Here is a 19,616-nt window from a genome sequence, read left to right as displayed (position 1 = left end):
AGATACCTGGAGAATAGAGTGAGAATGTCTAATACATCTAATTGGAGTTCTAAAAGAATATAATAGAATAGGGAAGAAGCAGTATTGATTTCTGCAGATGAGTATGAAGAAGATAACCTAACAGAAAAGTGAATCAAAGATATAAATAGACATTTTACACAAGAAGAAATATAAATGTGTCATAAAACATATGAACATTGTACCTTCTTAGTGCAAATAAGAAAAAAGATAATCTTTCATGCTAACTAGATTGGCAAAAATTAAAGCATAGATTAATATTAAATATTGATGAGGATATGGGCTGGCACAGTGGCTCACACCTGCAATCCCAGCACTTTGAGAGGCTGAGGCAGGCGGATCACTGGAGGCCAGGAGTTTGAGACCAGCCTGGCCAACATGGTGAAACGCTGTCTCTACTAAAAATACAAAAATTAGCTGGGCATGGTGGCATGTGCCTGTAGTCCCAGCTACTCGGGAGGCTGAGGCACGAGAATCACTTGAACCCAGGAAGCGGAGGTTTCAGTGAGCCAAGACTGTGATCCTGCGCTCTTGCTTGGGTGACAGAGTGAGACTCTGTCTCAAAAAAAAAAAAAAAAAAAAATAGGATATGGCTCAACAGTAAGTCCCATTCATTGTTGAGGGGCTGATAAATTGGTAAAACTGTTTTGGAAATCATTTTGCCATTTCCTGAAAAAGCTGAACATATACTTTCAGCGGTTCTATTCCTAAGCATATAACCTGGAGAAACTCTTTTTTTTTTTTTTTTTTTTTCTTTTGAGACAAGGTCTCGCTCTTTTCCCCAAGCTGGAGTGCAGTGGTGTGATTTTGGCTCACTGCAACCTCGACCCCCTGAGTTCAGGTGATCCTCCCATCTCAGCCTCTTGAGTAGCTGGGACTACAGATGCTCACCACCAGACCTGGCTAATTTTTGTACTTTTGTAGAGACAGGGTTTTGCCATGTTGCCCAGGCTGGACTCAATTCTCCTGTGTCCGCCTCCCAAAGTGCTAAGATTACAGGTGTGAGTCATTGTGCCTGGCCCAACCTGGAGAAACTCTTGCATGTGTTTTTACACCAGAATATGTGCCCAGAAACATTTGTGTAGCAATGTTCTTTAGCCAAATCTGAAAACAATCTAAATTTGGATTGTGGTAATTTTCTATTGCTGTTGTGACAAATTGCCACAAATATAATGACTTAAAAACAATATAAATTTATTATGCTGTAGTTCTGGGGGCCAGAATTCTGAAAATGGGATTTACAGGGTTAAAATCAAGATGTCAGCAAGGTTGCATTTCCTTCTGGAGGCTTCTTTTCAAGCTTCTAGGTATTGTCATGATTTTTGGCTTATGACCTCTTTATTCCTTCATCTTCAGAGCCAGCAGTATAGCATCTTCCAGTCTCTCTCTGACTCTGACACTCCCGCCTTCCTCTCTCATAAAGAACTCATCTCACCTGAATAATCCAGTATACCCCTTCCATCTCAAGATCCTCAAATTAATCACATCTTTGAAGTCCCCTTTGCCATGCAAAAATAATATATTTGCTTATTTCAGGAATTAGGGACATCTTGGGGGTGGGGCATTCTGTCTACTGTATGCATCAAGAGTAGAATGGATAAATTATGATATTCTAATAAAATGTAACACTTGCAACAGGGAAAATGAATGAGGTGCTACAAACCTCATCATCATAGATGCCATAATAACGTGTTAACAAAAGAGGCACATCACAGAAAAATTCACACATTAGATTCCATTAATATTAAAGTTCAAAAATGGGGGAAAAAAACCTCAAGCATATTGTTTAGGGATGCATTACCAGAAAAGGAAAAACTGATAACAAAAACAATATTTATTTCTACCTTTAGGGAGAGGGAGGTAGATGTAATTAAAGAGGAGCTTAAAGGATACTGGCAGTATTTATTTTTATTTTTTATTTTTTTCCTAAGTTTCAGGGGGTACATGTGCAGGTTTGTTACATGGGTATAGGGAATTTTTCAGCTCTTGTCCCCCTCTTTCCTCACCTTTTGGGGTCCCCAGTGTTGTTTCCTTCCTTATGTTCATGTATACTCAGTGTTAGCTCCCACTTACAAGTGAGAACATGCAGTATTTGATTTTCTGCTTTTGCATTAATTCACTTAGGATAATGGCCTCCAGCTGCATCCATGTTGCTGCAAAGGACATTATTTCATTTTTTTAAAATGGCTACTTAGTATTCCATGGTGTACATAGACCACATTTTCTTTATTCCATCCACCGTTGATGGGTACTTGACTACGTGATGATTGCACGACTTCAGTACTGTGAATAGTGCCGTGATAAACGTTCAAGTGCAGGTGTCTTTTTGATATAATGATTTCCTTTGGGTAGATAGATGCCCGGTAGTGGGATTGCAGGGTCAAATGATGGTTCTACTTTTAGTTCTTTGATAAATCTCCATATTGTTTTTCATAGGTGTTGAACTAATTTGCATTCCCACTAACAGTGTATAAGCATTCCCTTTTTTCCACATCCTTGCCAACATCTGTTTTTTTGTTTTACTTTTTAATATGATACTGGCAGTATTTAAAAAGTTTTTGGTGATACACAGGTTTCTGTCTCAGTAGTCTTTTAAAGGTTACAAATATGTACATGGCAACTTTGTTAACCCATCCCCTACCACAATTAAAATGTTTTAAAGAAGTAAAATATGGTGCTTTATAAACTAAAAGTCAACAATTTAAGAAAAATTTATAAGAAAGAACAAAAAAACTCAAGCATATTGTTTAGGGCTGCATTACCAGAAAAGGAAAAATTGATAACAAAACAAAAACAAGATTTATTTCTACCTTTAGGGAGAGGGAGGTAGATGTAATTAAAGAGGAGCTTAAAGGACACTGGCAGTATTTATTTTGTTATTTAATTATATATTATATATAAAAAACAATCACTAGATAAAATATTTTTAAAACCTAGGGAGCTTTTTGGTTTGTATTTTTTTCCTATTTAGGGGCTATGATTTGAAGTCTTTACAAACATATTTCAGACTGGCTGGGGAGGAAGGAAAAAATAGAACTCGCAGTCTTGTAAGTAGTAAGTGAGAGCAATGGAATGAAATTTGGGAGTTAGTGACAGGATCCTAGTGAGTCGGACAGCAAAGTAAATGTAACTCTAGAGCCAAAATTCTTGGTAATGATCATTTATCTCAAGATAATATAGCCCTAACTCTGTTGAAGGGAGTCTGGGGACACATTTATACTCCTAGGGAGAGAGAATGAGAATGAAACAGCTTGCAAGGACTGGTTTCCATTTTCTGATCATTACTTGCATATATTCCTCCTATGGACCATATAAATAACCTTTAACAGGCTGAGACCCATTTTTTGTTTTTTTGAAAATTTTGGTTGTTAGTTCATATGGAGTTGCAAGAAATAACACAGAAATCCCATATACTCTTTATCTATTTATCCCAATGGTAACATCCTGTAAACATGTAGTACAGTGTTATAATTGGGACATTGACAGTGATAGAATCTACTGATCTTGTTCAGATTCTCCCAGTTTTACTTGTTTTGTTTGTATGTGTATGTATTAGTTCCATATAATTTTATCACATACATAGGTTCATGTGTTCACCATCACAGTCAAAATACTGAACAGTTTTGTCACCACAAATATTGCTTCTGTTGCCCTTTTATAACCACACTATTTCCTTCCTACCCTACCTACCCCATCATCCATCCCCTACCCCAGTCCCTAATCCCTGGCAACAAATGATATGCTTTCCATTTCTAAAATTTTTTCATTTAAAAAGTGTTCTGTAAATGGAATCATATAGTGTGTAACCTTTTGGCTTGGCTTTTTCATTCAGGATAATTCCTGGAAGATAAATCCAGGTTGTGCATATCAGTCAATGAGTTCCATTTTTAATTTAGCCAAAGATTGTTTTATGGAATTTTGGGACTCTAAATTCACTTTGTAAATACCAATTTCTCTTCTTGGATTAGCAAATAATCTTTGAATAGTGGATAAGATCATTGATTTTAAAGTCTGATAGATTGGGAATAAGTTCCATTTCTACTTTGGAAAAATTAAGGTTGCTAAACCTTAATTTCCTTATATGTAATATGAAGATTATAATACCTCATTCATGAAATACTTTTAAAGAGGAAATGAGATAATATAAAGCTCTTAATACTGTGCCTGTCATGTAAGTGTTCCATAAATGGCCACCTAAAGGAAAGATAAAAGACATGGGTTACTACAGCAATATTATTACAGTCTGTAACTTCTAGGTTAGTTTGGGAAGATATTGCTTTGGTATTCCAGTGGCCACTTGGATTTCATATATGTTTAAGTAGAGGAAGGAGAATTCAATACTCTTCAAGTGCTAAAGAGAAATGTTCTTCCAAATGGGTATAGCTAATCTTTCTATTGTTTTTTATCTCATTGGCCACAGTAAAAAGTAAGTTGACTGCTTTAATGTTATATCTTAATCAGCAAGTACCGGCTAACTTGAATGAATAAATTACATTTTTATATAATAGTGTAGATTTGTTAAGGTTGAAACATCAGTAGTTTACATATTTTAAATTATATAAATTCTAGGTCACTGGAGTTCTGGATGATTGCTTGTGTGATATTGACAGCATCGATAACTTCAATACCTACAAAATCTTCCCCAAAATAAAAAAATTGCAAGAGAGAGACTATTTTCGTTATTACAAGGTAAGGTTGTAATTTTTTATTCTGTTGATATCAAAGGTATTATATGTGACCTTTATGATCCTTTTGAAAGCCCATTTCAGTTCCTCTCAGCACCTTGTGTATATCTTTCATCACTGAATTTATTATGTATTGCAGTGGAAACCTATTGATCTTTTTAAACAGTACAAATCTTAGCCCCCTTCCTTTGTATGGGGAGTTCCTCATTTTTCAGTTTTGGTTTTTAGGCAGAGACTACTGTCTCTATAGAAGCTGAAAATGCCACAGACTTACTTTGTCAGCCTCTCTTATAACATAGTTCTGCCATCTGGACACACCTACTCAGCCTTTGAGTTGTGCTGATGTCAGTGTGCTAGCATTGTTAGTGGAAAGGACCACAGCAGCATCTTTGTTGGACCTCTTTCTGAGAGGGCTGGCAAAACAGGCTGAGGCTCCAAGTAGACCACTACCGACAGTGATGCTCCAGAATTGGTTCTTAAATCTAGTAATAGTCTACTCTAGACCTTTACAAAATAACCGGTGATACTTTAAAGGCAGCAGCAATCTTTAAATATAGCAGTAAGGCAATATTCAAAAGAACAGTGTTTTAAATTTTAGAACAACATTTTATTTTATTTTATTTTTTATTATTCTTACTATTTTTGAGATGAAGTCTCGCTCTGTCACCCAGGCTGAAGTGCAGTGGCACAATCTCAGCTCACTGCAACCTCCGCCTCCTGGCTTCAAGCGATTCTTCTGCTTCAGCCTTCTGAGTAGCTGGGATTACAGGCGCCCGCCACCACACCCAGCTAGTTTTTGTATTTTTAGTACAGACTGGGTTTTGCCATATTGGCCAGGCTGGTCTCAAACTCCTGATCTCAGGTCATCCACCTGCCTCAGCCTCCCAAAGTGCTGGGATTACAGGTGTGAGTCACTGTGCCCGGCCTAAATATATGTATTTTGTTATTTAATAATATATATATGTTTTTGTTTTTGCTTTTATTTTTTCTCTCGAGACAGAGTCTCACTCCGTCGCCCAGGCTGGAGTGCAGTGGCGCGATCTCGGCTCACTGCAAGCTCTACTTCCCAGGTTCACACCATTCTCCTGCCTCAGGCTCCCGAGTAGCTGGGACTACAGGCACCTGCCACCACGCACGGCTAATATTTTGTATTTTTAGTAGAGACGGGGTTTCACCATGTTAGCCAGGATGGTCTTGATCTCCTGACCTTGTGATCCGCCCGCCTTGGCCTCCCAAAGTGCTGGGATTACAGGCGTGAGCCACCGCGCCCGGCCTTGTTTTTGCTTTTTTTAGAGACAGGGTCTTGCCATGTTTGCCCAGGCCGATCTCAAATTCCTGGCTTCAAGTGATCTATCGATTGATCAATCTATCTATCTATCCATGTGTCTTTTTGTTTTCTAGGCTTACGTCAGCTAAATTAATTTTTTTTTGTTTTTTTTTAGACAGGGTCTCGCTCTGTCGCCCAGACTGGAGTGCAGTGGCTCCATCTCAGTTCACTGCAACCTCCGCCTCCTGGCTTCAAGCGATTCTTCTGCCTCAGCCTCCCGAGTAGCTGGGATTACAGGCGCCCACCACCACGCCTGGCTAATTTTTGTATTTTTAGTAGAGACGAGGTTTCACCATGTTGGCTAGGCTGGTCAAATTAAATATTTTTGATGATTAAAAACTAGTATCTTGTGCAGAAATATAACAAATAAGAGAATTAAAGATTTGGGAACACATCTCTCTTATCAGCACCAGGAACATCCAAAAAAGGTGATGTATGTTTCTCCTCTGTACAAAATCCTTTAGGAAAGCATATTTCATGAATTTATTTCAAAGAGTAATCTATACCTAAATAGACTATTGAGTGTCTGTTACTCTAGGCATTTTACATATGAATAAGACATGTGCTTCTTTCATTTTTTTTTTTTTCCCCCGGAGGGGTGCACCGTTCCTGAAGTACTGCAATACCAGGTCGATGCGAGGAGTGGATGGAGCAAGCTCCTATTCCATCTCCCTACTCCAAAAATCCATGTAATATATTGTTCTCGGGTAGAGGACATATCAGGTATTAACAGATACTTCACTTGATCTTAGCCAAAAGGCCGAGAAGCCATTGGAGAGACAGGTGCTTCTTTAAATTTCCACCACTAAATCTATAAATCTAAGTGCATTTGTAGCTGCTTTCTCTTGTTTCTTTTCTACCATAACATTGAACTATATGAAATTTTTACTTTTATATTTCAAAAATGGTTGAACATGCCAGTTTCATATTGCTCAATGTAATACAGTGGGGGAAGTGTTTCTTGTATCAAAAACCATCTCTTCACAAGTGGTCCAGTTCACATCTCTACATAATGTTATGTCCCTCACTCTTTCACTCCTTCACTTTGGGTTTGTATCTTGTGTTTCTCTATCCCTAGCAGGCTTGGTCAGTAGAAGTACTCAAATATTTGAATGTTTGAATGAATATCTCGTTTAATCTTCACACCAAAATTTTCTCAATATTAGTCACATTTTTCAAATGAAAAAGTAATAGTTTAGGTATTCCAGGTAGGGTATTTTTGTTGGCTAACAAACAAAACAGAAGTTTTATTAAGAAAAGATATGAAGTAGCTAACAAAATTGAAAGACAAGCTGAGGAAACATACTTCAGAAAAGATAAAACTAAAGCTGGAACTAATGACCATTTCCTTTAAGGAACCACTGGGATTTTGTATCAAATTAACTATTTTCCCATATTTTCCAAACTTTATGTAAGAGTTATATTTCTGTCCAGGTACGGTCATATGACCTGTTGGACCAAAAGAAGGAAGGACACCTTGGTTGACAGTCTCATTTGCATGAGTAAAAGTGGAGTCATTGTTTCCCAAAGGGAAATTAGGGACTGTTACAAAAGAAGGAATAATGGAACTTGGATAGGCAAAAGTGACAATGTGGTTCTTGGCTACTCAACAATCTGATTCTTCCTCTTACACATGCAGTTTAAAAATGTTCTGATCAACACAGTGAAATTATTCCATATGAAACCAAAACATGCTCATACCCTCTCACAGAGGAGGGTTAATGCCATGATCTAGTTAATGCATTCAGCTCTAACTCTAGGATATTTGGGTGATATCTATGCCTCTTTTTGTTCTGTCAGCCTATAAAAGAAATAAGAAGGAATATACTCTACTCAATATACTCTACCTACAACAGTGGCAAAGAAAGGAAAGCTTTAAAAAGAAAAAGCTAAGAGAAAAGGTTAATTTAACTTATTATTATTTTTTAATTTTAATTTTTTTTTTTTTGAGACAGAGTCTTGCTCTGTTGCCCAGGCTGGAGTGCAGTGGTACGATCTTGGTTCACTGCAACCTCAGCCTCCCAGGTTCAAGTGATTCTCCTGCCTCAGCCTCCTGAGTAGCTGGGACTACAGGCCCACACCACTACACCCGGCTAATTTTTATATTTTTAGTAGATACGGGGTTTCACCATGTTGGCCAGGCTGGTCCGCAACTCCTGATCTCAGGTGATCCACCCGCCTTGGCCTCCCAAAGTGCTGGGATTACAGGCGTGAGCCACCATGCCCAACCAAAAAGAAGTTAATTTTAAACACATGATTCAACAAGCAAGGAATACAGGTGGAGGTAACAGTCTGCCTTTATGCAGTTGGGCAGTTGGCTGCTGTAGCTGGTATTTCTAACTTCTCTTTTTTACTTCTTATTCCTTTCCTTTATGCAGTAAATATTTATTGAATGATTAGTTTGTGTCAGGTACTATGGATACAGTAGTGAATAAGACAAAACTTTTCTGATAAGAGAGACAAACAATAAACAAGTAAACAATAAAATATAATTTCAGATGCTTATAAGGTAAATTCTATGGAGAAAAGTAAAGTAGGAGAGAATGAATATTGGGGAATTGGAGGGTGGGAGAGGTAGGTAGCCCTACATTAGAGAAAGTATTTGGGAAAATAAGGTATTTATGCTAATGTAACATTTGAGCAAAGTCCTACCTAATGTGAAAGAGCCATGAGAAGGTTTGGGGAAAGAACATGCCAGGGAAAAGATGTAGAATACCAAGTAAATGGTCTTGAGATAGAAATAAGCTTGGTGTGTTGAATAGGCAGAAAGCTGGTATAGCTGGAGTGAACGAGAGGGAGAGTTGGAAATATAGGTAGGCACCAGATTTAAAAAACAGTAGGACCGTATTGACCATGTAAGGATGCTGGATTTTATTTTAAGCAGGATAAGAAACTACTGAAGGGATTTTTGTGCAAAAAAGACTGTAAGGGTAGAAGACAAGAAATAGAGGAACCATTTAGGAGACTCTTGTGTTAGTTCAGATAAAAACAATACAGATTTGCAATAGAATGCTGCAGCTGAAAAATGTAGAAAATGATCAAATTAGGGTTGTACACAAAAGGCAACACCAGCAAGCTTTTCTGATGAATTGAGTGTGACGTATGATATAGAAATGAAATCAAGGATGATGCCTAAGTTTTGAGTGCACATATACAAGCACAAATGTACATATATGTAAAATCATGACCAAATAGATTTTATTCCAAGAATGCAAGGATGATTCTTGCATTGATGTTGATAATCATCAAAATTCAATATGTGCTCCTGATTTTTAAAATAATAAGAATGATGTATATTTCTTAACATGATGATTTCAGTCCTAACATCAGCATAGCTAACACGTCTTGCATATGGGGAAACACTAGAGGAATTCTCACTTAGGTCAGGAACCAAGACAAGGATACCCACTATCTGCATTAACTGTTGGATATACTACCCAGCACAGTCAAATAAGAAAAAAACAACTATCCAGTGTGATGGCTCTGATTTAAAAAAAAAAAAAAGAGAAAAAAATAACTAGAGCCATAAAATTTTATTTTACTTTTTTGTGTATAAATTTAAGGGGTACAAGTGCAGTTTTGTTACATGGATATATTGCCTAGTGGTGAAGCCTGGGCCTTTAATGGAACCATCGCCCGGATAGTGTGCATTGTACCCCTTATGAAATTTCTCATCCCTTACTCCCCTCCCACCCTTCTTTTTTTTTGGAGACAGTCTCACCTTTGTTGCCCAAGCTGGAGTGCTGTGGTGTGATCTCGACTCACTGCAATCTCCACCTCCTGGGTTCAAGTGATTCTCCTGCCTCAGGGCTCCCAAGTAGCTGGGACTACAGGTGTGTGCCACCATGCCTGGCTAATTTTTATATTTATAGTAGAGATGGGGTTTCACCATGTTGGCCAGGTTGGTCTTGAACTCCTGATCTCAAGTGATCTGCCCACCTTGGCCTCTCAAAGTGCTAGGATGATATGCATGAGCCACCATGCCTGGCCCACCCCACCCTTCTGAGTCTCCAGTGACTATTACTCCACATTCTATGCCCATGTGTACACATTATTTACCTCCTACTAATAAGTGACAATGGAGAGGCATACAGATTTTAAAGGAATAAGTATAACTATTTCCATTTATAAATGAAAAAAGTTGTCTGGGCATGGTGGCTTCTGCCTGTAATCCCGGCACGCTGGGAGGCTGAGGCAAGTGGATCAGTTGAGGCCAGGAGTTCGAGACTAGTCTGGTCAACATGGCAGAACCCTGTCTCCACTAAAAATACAAGAAACTAGCTGGGCATGGTGGCGTGTGCCTGTAATTCCAGCTACTGGTTGGGGGGCAGGCAGAGGCATGAGAATTGCTTGAACCCAGGAGGTAGAGGTTGCAGTGAGCCAAGATCACGCCACTGCACTCCAGCCTGGGTGACAGCGAGACTCTGTCTCAAAAATAAGAAAATGTAGTTATATGAAAAAAGTTATATGTAAAAAATGCAAAAGAATCAATAATAAAAACAATAAAACATATGTTAATATAGCAAGCCATAAACTTGATATACAAAAAGTCAATATCTTCATAAATGTAAATAATAACCATTTAGAAGTTATAACAGAAAGGAAACCACCATTTACATTAGCAATGAAGCCAGGCATGGTGGTGCATGCCTGTAGTCCCAGCTACTTGGGAGACTTAGCTGGAAGTATCGCTTGAGCCCAGGAGGTTGAGACAAGCCTAGGCAACATAGCGATACTACTGACTCAAAAAAAAAAAAAAAAAAAAAAAAAAAAGCAAACAAAATAAAACAAAAAATATATTAGCGATAAAACAGATAAGATATATAGGAATAAGTACATCAAGAAGTATGCAAAACCTAAAGGAGGAAAGCTTTAAAACATTCTTGAAAGACACAAAAGTAGATTTGAACAAATGGAAAGATATCCTTTGTAGCCTAACAATTTTAATTCGCCCCTAGTTAATATGTAAATTTAATGTGATCCTAATAAAAATACTGAATTTTGGCCTGGTGCAGTGGATCACACCTGTAATCCAAGCACTTTGGGAGCTGAGGTGGGTGCATCACTTGAGGTCAGGAGTTCGAGACCCGCCTGGCCAACCTAGTGAAACCCCATCTCTACTAAAAATACAAAAAATTAGCCAGGCGTGGTGGAGTGTGCTTGTAATCCCAGCTACTTGGGAGGCTGAGGTGGGAGAATCGTTTGAACCTGGGAGGTGGAAGTTGCTGTGAGCCGAGATCATGCCACTGCACTCCAGCCTGGGTGACAGAGCAAGACTTCATCTCAAAAACAACAACAACAACAACAAAACTGAAGTTTTTGTTTATTTTCCTGGAGCTAGACAAGTTGTCACAGGTTAGGTTCTCTGGGAAGCATATGCTGAGACAGTGATAAGTGTACAAGAGCTTAGTTAGGGTATACTCTTGGGAACAACAGTTTGGGGAAGGCAGGGAATCAGGATTGGGCAAAGGGAGATGTCAAGCTGTGATGCAGCCTCAGTGGAAACCTCAGGTAAGCCTGTGGGGAATTCTTAAGATGGAATAACCCTTCCGAGTTAGTCGTCCCCATTTGGCACGAGAGGTATAGGCCTTTATATCTCTCCATCAGTTGGTCATTGGATGAAGGCCACCAGAGGAAATAAGGATCCAATCTTGGGTAAGGTGGTTCTTTTCACCCAAGCTTGTCTACCTGCAGCATTTCCACAACTGAGGTAATTACATCCCCTTTATTCCTGAAGGGTGATCTGAGTAGTATGTTACAGTGTCTACCACAGTCCACTCGTTGCACCATGTATTTCTGTTGCTGAATTAAAAAATTAGCTTTAAATTTAGCAGCTTAAAACAGCAGGGCTGGGCATGGTGGCTCACGCTCGTAATCCCAGCACTTTGGGAGGCCGAGGCTAGTGGATCATTTGAGGTCAGGAGTTCAAGACCAGCCTGGCCAACATGGTGAAACCCCATCTCTACTAAAAATACAAAAAAAAAATTAGGCAGTAGTGATGTGCAACTGTAATCCCAGCTACTTGGGAGGCTGAGGCAGGAGAATCACTTGAGCCTGGGAGGCAGAGGTTGTGGTGAACTGAGGTTGCATCACTGCACTCCAGCCTGGGCGACAGAGTGAGACCCTGTCTCAAAAAAACAAACAAAAAAAGACTGAAAAGATGCCATTTCAGGAAGACCTAAAGAGTGTGAGAAAGCAAGCAATGTGGATACCTGGGGAAGAGCATTTTTGTATGAGGTAAGGATCCAGTTTCATTCCTGTGAATGTGAATATCCAGTTTTCCCAACACTTTATTAAAGAGACTGTCCTTTCCCTGTTGTGTGTTCTTGGCACTTTTGCCAAAAATCAATTGACCATACATACTTGGGAGTCTTAGGTTTATTTCTGGGCTTCCTAACTTGTTCCATTGGTTGATGTGTCTATTTTTATGCCAGTACCATGCTGTTTTGATTACAGTAGCTTTGTAATATATTTTGCAATCACAGTGTGCAATGAGTCCACCTTTGGATTTTTTGCTCATGATTGCTTTGGCTATTCAGAGTCATTTCTGGATCCATACAAATTTTAGGATTGTTCTTTTTTTGTTTGTTTGTTTTTGTTTTTGTTTTTGAGACAGAGCCTTGCTCTGTTGCCTGGGCTGGAGTGCAGTGGCACAATCATAGCTCACTGTAGCCTTGAAAACCTTGTACTGACCTCAACTGATCCTCCCACCTCTGCTTCCTAAAGTGCTGGGATTACAGATGTGAGCTGCTGTGTCTGGCCGTATTGTTTTTTATGTATCTGTAAAGAAATGATATAGGAATTTTGATAGGAATTGTATTGAATCTGTAGATCACTTTAGGTGATATGGACATTTTAACAATTTAATTCTTCCAATCAGTGAATATGGGATGTCTTTCCACTTATTTATGTCTTCAGTTTCTTTCATTAGTGTTTTAGTTTTTAGTGCATAGATCTTTCACCTCCTTGGTTAAAGTTACAACTATTTCATTTCTTGATGTTACTGTAAATATGATCTCTCAATTTTGGGGGGGATTGTTCATTGTTAGTGTATAGAAATGCTATGGACTTTTGTATGCTGACATCGTAACCTGCAACTTTGCAGAATTTATCACCAGTTTATTACTAGATTTTTTGGTGGAGTCTTTAAAGTTTTCTCTCTATGAGATCATGTCATCAGCAAACAGACATTCTCATTTCTTTTTCTATATAGATGTCTTTTATTTCTTTTTCTTGCCTTATTGCTCTGACTAGAACTTCCAGTACTATGTTGAATAGAAGTGGCAAGAGTGGGCGTTCTTGTCTTGTTTCTAATCTTAGAGGAAAAGCTTTTCAGTTTTCACCACTGAGTATGATGTTAGCTGTGGGTATATGACCTTTATTATGCTGGGGTACATTTTTTCCATACCTTATTTTTCAGGGGTAGTTTTTATCATGAAAGGATGTTGAATTTTGTCATATGTTTTTTCTGCATCTATCAAAATAATCATGTGGCTTTTGTCTTTAATTTGCTTAATGTGTATTATTTTTATTGATTTATGTACATCAAACTACTCTTGCATCTCTGGGATAAATCTCACTTGATCATGGTGAGTGATCTTTTTACTATGCTCTTGGATTTGGTTCACTAATATTTTATTAAGGATTTTTGCATTTTTTTTCATCAGGGCTGTTGGCCTGTAGTTTCCTTTGTTTATTTTTTTGTAGTGTCTTTTTCTGCCTTCGAAATCAGGGTAAATACTGGCTTTCTAAAATGAGTTTGGAAGTATTACCTTCTCTTCAATTTTTTTGAAAAGTTTAAGGATTGGTTGCTGTTCTTTATATGTTTGGTAGAACTCAGCGGTGAAGCCATGAGGTCCTGGTCTGTCTGTCTTTTTTTTTTTTTTTGAGACCAACTCTTGCTCTGTTGCCCAGGCTGGAGTGCAGTGGCGCGATCTCGGCTCATTGCAACCTCCATCTCCTGGGTTCAAGTGATTCTCCTGCCTCAGCCTGTTGAGTAGCTGGGATTATAGGCCCATGCCACCACACCCAGCTAATTTTTGTATTTTTAATAGAGACAGGGTTTCACCATGTTGTCCAGGCTGGTCTTGAACTCCTGACCTGACCTCAGGTGATCCACCTGCCTTAGCTTCCCAAAGTGCTGAGATTACAGGCATGAGCCACTGCGCCCAGTGCCTCGTCTTTCTTTGATAAGATACTTTTTATTGAATCAGTTTCCTTAATTATTATTGGCCTATTCAGATTTTCATGACTTCCTTACTCCAGCTTTTGTAGGCTGCATGTTTCTAGTAATATCTTCATTTCTTCTAGGTTATCCAATTTATTGGAACATAGTCGTGATTAGTAGTCTCTTTTTCTTCGATGTCAGTTGTAATGTCTCCTCTTTAATTCTGATTTTGTTGGCATCTTCTCTTTTTCTTTGTTAATCTAGCTAAAGGTTTGTCTATTTGTTTATCTTTAAAAAAAAACTTTGGTTTCATTGATTACTGATTTCTAGTTTCATGTTAGTGTGGTCACATAAGATACTTCGTATGATTTCAGTGTTCTTAAATTTGTTAAGACTTGTTTTGTGGCCTAACATGCTCTATCCTGGAGAATGTTCCATATGCACTGAGAATAATGTATATTCTGTTACTGTTGTATGGAATATTCTATAAATATCTGGTAGGGCCATTTGGTCTAAAGTGTAGTTCAAATCCAGTGTTTCCTCATTGATTTTTTTTTTTCTGTCTAGGTGATCTAATGTTGAAAGTGGAGTATTGAAGTCTTATTGTATTGCAATTTATCTCTCTCTTCAAAGCTATTGATATTTGCTTTATATATTTACCTTTTCAGAAGTTGGGTGCATATATATATTTAGTTTTTGTAACTTCTTGATAAATTGACCCCCTTATCATTTTAAATGACCTTCTTTATCTCTTTTTACATGTTTGACTTAAAGTCTATTTTGTCTGACATATGGATAGCTACCCCTGCTCTTTTGGTTTCTAGTTGCATAGAACATCTTTTTCTATCTTTTCAGTCTGTGTGTGTCCTTAGAGGTGAAGCAAGTCTTTTATAAGCAGCATATAGTTAGGTCTTATTTTTTAATCCATTCGCCACTTTTAATCCAATCCACTTTTGATTGGATAATTTAATCCATTTGCATTCAAAGTAATCATTGATAGGTAAGGACTTACTATTGCCATTCTGTTAATTGCTTTTTTTGTTAATCTGTAATTCGTTTGTTCTCTCCTCCTCTCTTGCTGTTTTCCTTTGTGGTTTGATGATTTTTTTATAGTGGTATGCCTTGAATCTTTTATCTTTTCTGCAACTACTAAAGGTTTTTGCTTTGTAGTTACCATGAGACCTACATACATCTTGTGTTAGTAGCAGGCTGTTTTCAGCTGATACTGACTTAACTTTGATCACTTGCATAAATGCTATACTTTTACTTGCCTCCCCACCCCAATTTGTTTTTAAGGACATGTCTTATATCTTGTATAGTTTGTATAGTGTATTATAGCTATAGTTATTTATTTTTAATATTTTGTCTTTTAACTTTCCTATTAGATATATAATTGATATTTACACCACCAGTACAGTATAATAGTGTTCTGAGTTTGTATGCTTACTTTTACTAGTGAGTTTTATGTTTTCTAATTTATTTATTTATTTATGTTTGAGATGGAGTCTTACTCTATCACCCAGGCTGGAGTGCAGTGGCACGATCTTGGCTCACTGCAACGTCCGCCTCCCAAGTTCAAGTGATTCTCTTGACTCGGCTTCCCGAGTAGCTGGGATTACAGGTGCACACCAGCACACCCAGCTAATTTTTGTACTTTTTTAGTAGAGATGAGGTTTCACCACGTTGGCCAGGCTGGTCTCGAATTTCTGGCCTCAAGTGATCCACCCGCTTCGGCCTCCCAAGTTGTTGGGATTACAGGTGTAAGCCCCTGCACCCAGCCGTTTTCATATGTTTTTAATATTGCTAGTTGGCAGCATTTTTCTTCAGCTTGAAGGATCCTTTTAGCATTTCTCATAAGGCAGATCTAGTGGTGATAAATTTCCTTACGTTTTGTCTGAGAAAGTTTTTATTTCCCCTTTTATTTTTGAAGAACAGGATCACTGGATATAGTATTTTTGGTTGACAATTCTTTTTCTTCCTTTTCTTTCAGCTTTTTGAATCTAACATTCCACTCCTTTCTGGCCTACAAGGTTTCTGTTGAAAATTTTGCCTATAATTTACTGGAAGTTCCCTTGTTTGTAACAACTCACTTTTCCCTTGCAGCTTTCAATATTTTCTCTGTCTTTAACTTTTGACAATTTGATAATAACGTCTTTTGGTGTGTGAGTCTCTTCGGATTCCTCCTATCAAGTTTTCATTGAACTTCCTGGATCTGGCTGGGTTTTTTTTTTTTTTGCTTTGTTTTTCTTTTTTTTCTTTCTCTCTCTCTCTCTTTCTGTCCTTCTTTCTTTCTTTCATCATAAGCAAGCTAACAGGAGGGATCTGGCTTTCTGTTTCCTTCCCCAGACTTGGAAAGTGTTCTGCCACTTTTTCTTTGAATTTTTTTTGTCCCTTTTTCTCTTTCTTCTCCTTCTGGTACTCTGATAATGTGTGTAATTCTGCTTGGTGGTATCCTATGAGTCCCTTAGACTGTCTTCACTCTTTTTCATTCTTTTTTCTTTTTGTTCCTCAGATTGGATGATTTCCATTGAACTGTCTTCAAGTTTGCTAATCCTTTCTTCTGCTTGATCTAGTCTGCTGTTGGACCCCTCTACTGAATTTTTTTAGTTTGGCTATTGTGTTCTTCAGGTCAATGATTTCTGTTTGATATTTTAAAAATATTTTCTACCTCTTTGTTGATATTCTCAATTTGTTCATGCATCGCACTCCTTACCTCAGTGAGCATCTTTATGACTCCTTCTAAATGTCCTGTTAGGTAAATCACATATCTTCCTTTCAGTAGGGTTGGCTTCTAATTGAGATTGTCTTGTTCTTTTTTTTTTTTGGAGCATATTTCCCTATTTCTTCATTTTTCTTAACTTAAGGCACATAGAATGCTGTCCCTTCTGTTTAGGCTTCAGGAGGTTTATTCTTTATTTGCTACATAGGCTCCTAGATACTGGCTTGTTAGAAGCCAAATCTGCAGGGAGTTGCTGGAAAGGCTGCCAAGATTTTGGCTTGAGGAACTAGAATAATGGAGTTGCTGTTTACTCAGATGGTGAGTATTACTAGAAGGAGTAATTCTTCATTTTTCTTAACTCTGTATTGGTTTCTGTGTATTATATAAAAGAACTACCTTCTCTAGTCTTGTTAGACTGGTCTTATGTACCAGGTGTTTCTTCCCAATCAGCCTTGGCAGTATTCTAGTTTCGCAAAACTTTGTGCTTGTCCAGCCTGCTGTCTCTGTTCTTAGTGGCCTCCAAGAAATTAGAGTCAAGTTGTACTATTGCCTTGAGAGAGGTGGTATAGAAGCCATTCCCTTGGGATATGACTAGAGATATTGGGATGTTAGATGTGTGCTTTGGTTTCTTCTTTCCTTGCAGAGAAGCTGAAAGCCAGAGTTTATCTCCCACTGATTCTGCTCTGCACCAAAGAGAGCATCTGAGGCAGATGCCTGTATTCTTGATCTAACTGGTGACTTTTTAACTTGGAAGAGAGAGATAGCTGCTGAATATTTATTTGCAAGTTTAAAAGTCACCTGTTTGTTCTCTGTGGTCTAGGAGACTCAGGAGTGTAGGGCTTCATCAACTCCCAGAGCTAGGTGATTTAGCAGCCTATCCCTCCAGTGAAGGCTATAAAAGTTGGGGTTCTTGATGTGTTCAAAAATTATTTTCATGGAGAGTTGAAGACCTGGAATTATTGCCAGAGCCTGTAGGGGAAAAGGTGCAGGAAGCCCACTCTACTTTTTGGGCCAGCAGGTCTCATGCCCCCCTAGCAGGGGGAGACTTCTGATCTGAAGCTATTACTGAAGCATGCCAGGAGAAAGGCACAGGGAGTGCTGACTTTCCTTTTCAGGAATGGGGAGGTCCCCCCGCCTCCTTCCATTGAGAGATTGTGGGAGTTTGTCTCTAGAGCACATGGAGGCAGAAGGCATGAGAAGTGCTGTCCCTTCCATTCGTGGTGGCAGAGATTTCAGAGTTGGGATTGTGTCTGGAGCAAGCCAGGGAAGGAGGTGCAGAGTGTGCTTACTCTCCCGTTCAAGCAAGAAGTCTCACATGCACCTTGCAGGAGTAACCTTTTGGTCTGGAGTTCCCTGAAGCAAGCCAGGGAAGAAGACACAGGGAATATCCCCTTCTCTTTCTTGTCATGGAGAGGTCCCCTTGCCTCCTTCTAATGAGAGGTTGCAGAAACTTATCTCAGGAGCAAGTCAGGGAAGAAAGCGCAGAGGGTGCTGTTCCTCCTGTTCTTGCTGGCAGAGGCCTCCAACCTTTTTCCAAGGAGAGAGTGGATGGCTGGGATTAGCGCCTGAAGTAAGCCAGGGGAAGAAGGCACATAGAGTGCTGTCCCTTCTGTTTAGGCTCAAGGAGGTTTATTCTTTATTTGCTACATGGGTTCCCAGATACTGGCTTGTTAGAGGCCAGAGCCTCAGGGAGTTGCTGGAAAAGCTGCCAAGATTTTTGGCTTGAGGAACTAGAATAATGGAGTTGCATTTTACTCAGATGGTAAGAATTTCTAGAAGGAGGAGGTGCAGTTTTGGATATGTTAATTTTGAGGTACCTATGAATGCCTTGTCCAGGAAGAGATAATCCAGGAAGCAGGTGGGTATACAGGCCAGAAGCTTAAGGGAGGTGTCCAGGCTGAGAACTTGCAGTCCCCAGATGTGCCATGCTGTTTTAAGGTTCTTTGTTTATGCACATCCTGCCCCACTGCCTCTAAATCTCCCTCAAACACTTCTAGTCATACCCATTTTACATATTACCAAAAGTCAGAGTTGATCACCCTCTCCTCTATGTTGCCAATCTACCTATTTTTGCCTTCTTCTCTGTAATATAGATATTGTTTACTTAACCATATTAATTAGGTGTCTACTATGTATTATACCACTGTTCCAAGCACTAAGGATAAGATGATGCAAAATTCTGATCCTTATGGTAGGAGGCGCAGACAATAAGCAGATAACATTCAGGGATAAGTGCCATAAAAGAATGTAAAACAGTACGTTGGGGTAGAGGTTGCATACTGAGCACTACTTTAGCAAGCCTGGCCAGGAATGGTCTCTCTGCTTAGGTGTGATATGTGAGAGAGACTTGAATGCGGCGAAAGAGTGAGCCGTCATAAGATCTGGAGGAGCAATAATACAGGCAGAGAGGACAGCAAATATAAAGACCTTGAGGCCGGGCATGGTGGCTCACACCTATAATCTTAACACTGGGAGTCTGAGGTGGGTGGATGGCTTGAGCCCAGGAATTCCAGCCCAACCTGGGAAACATAGTGAGACCTTGTCTCTACTTAAAAAAAAAAAAGAAAGAAAAAAAAAATTAGCCAGGTGTGGTGGTACATCTGTGGTCCCAGCTACTTGGGAGGCTGAGGTACAAAGATCACCTGAGCCCAGGAGTTCGAGGCTGCAGTGAGCCAGGTTCGTGCCACTGCACTCCAGCCT

General features: G+C 39.0%; 1 protein-coding gene and 1 pseudogene across 1 annotated transcript in view; one reads left to right on the top strand and one right to left on the bottom strand.

Annotated features, from left to right (window-relative positions):
• The window catches only part of ERO1B (endoplasmic reticulum oxidoreductase 1 beta), a 66,858-nt gene that overhangs the window by 7,377 nt on the left and 39,865 nt on the right, over positions 1-19,616 (top strand). Inside the window, exon 2 of the mRNA NM_019891.4 lies at positions 4,588-4,707. Coding sequence (NP_063944.3) covers positions 4,588-4,707 — 120 coding nt within the window. The remainder of the gene's footprint in view (positions 1-4,587; positions 4,708-19,616) is intronic.
• Positions 6,627-6,802, bottom strand: RNU2-70P (RNA, U2 small nuclear 70, pseudogene; annotated as a pseudogene).

The sequence above is a fragment of the Homo sapiens genome, chromosome 1 (genome assembly GCF_000001405.40).
Source record: "Homo sapiens chromosome 1, GRCh38.p14 Primary Assembly".
Classification (NCBI taxonomy): domain Eukaryota; kingdom Metazoa; phylum Chordata; class Mammalia; order Primates; family Hominidae; genus Homo; species Homo sapiens.
This window is presented reverse-complemented; position numbering and strand designations above follow the sequence as displayed.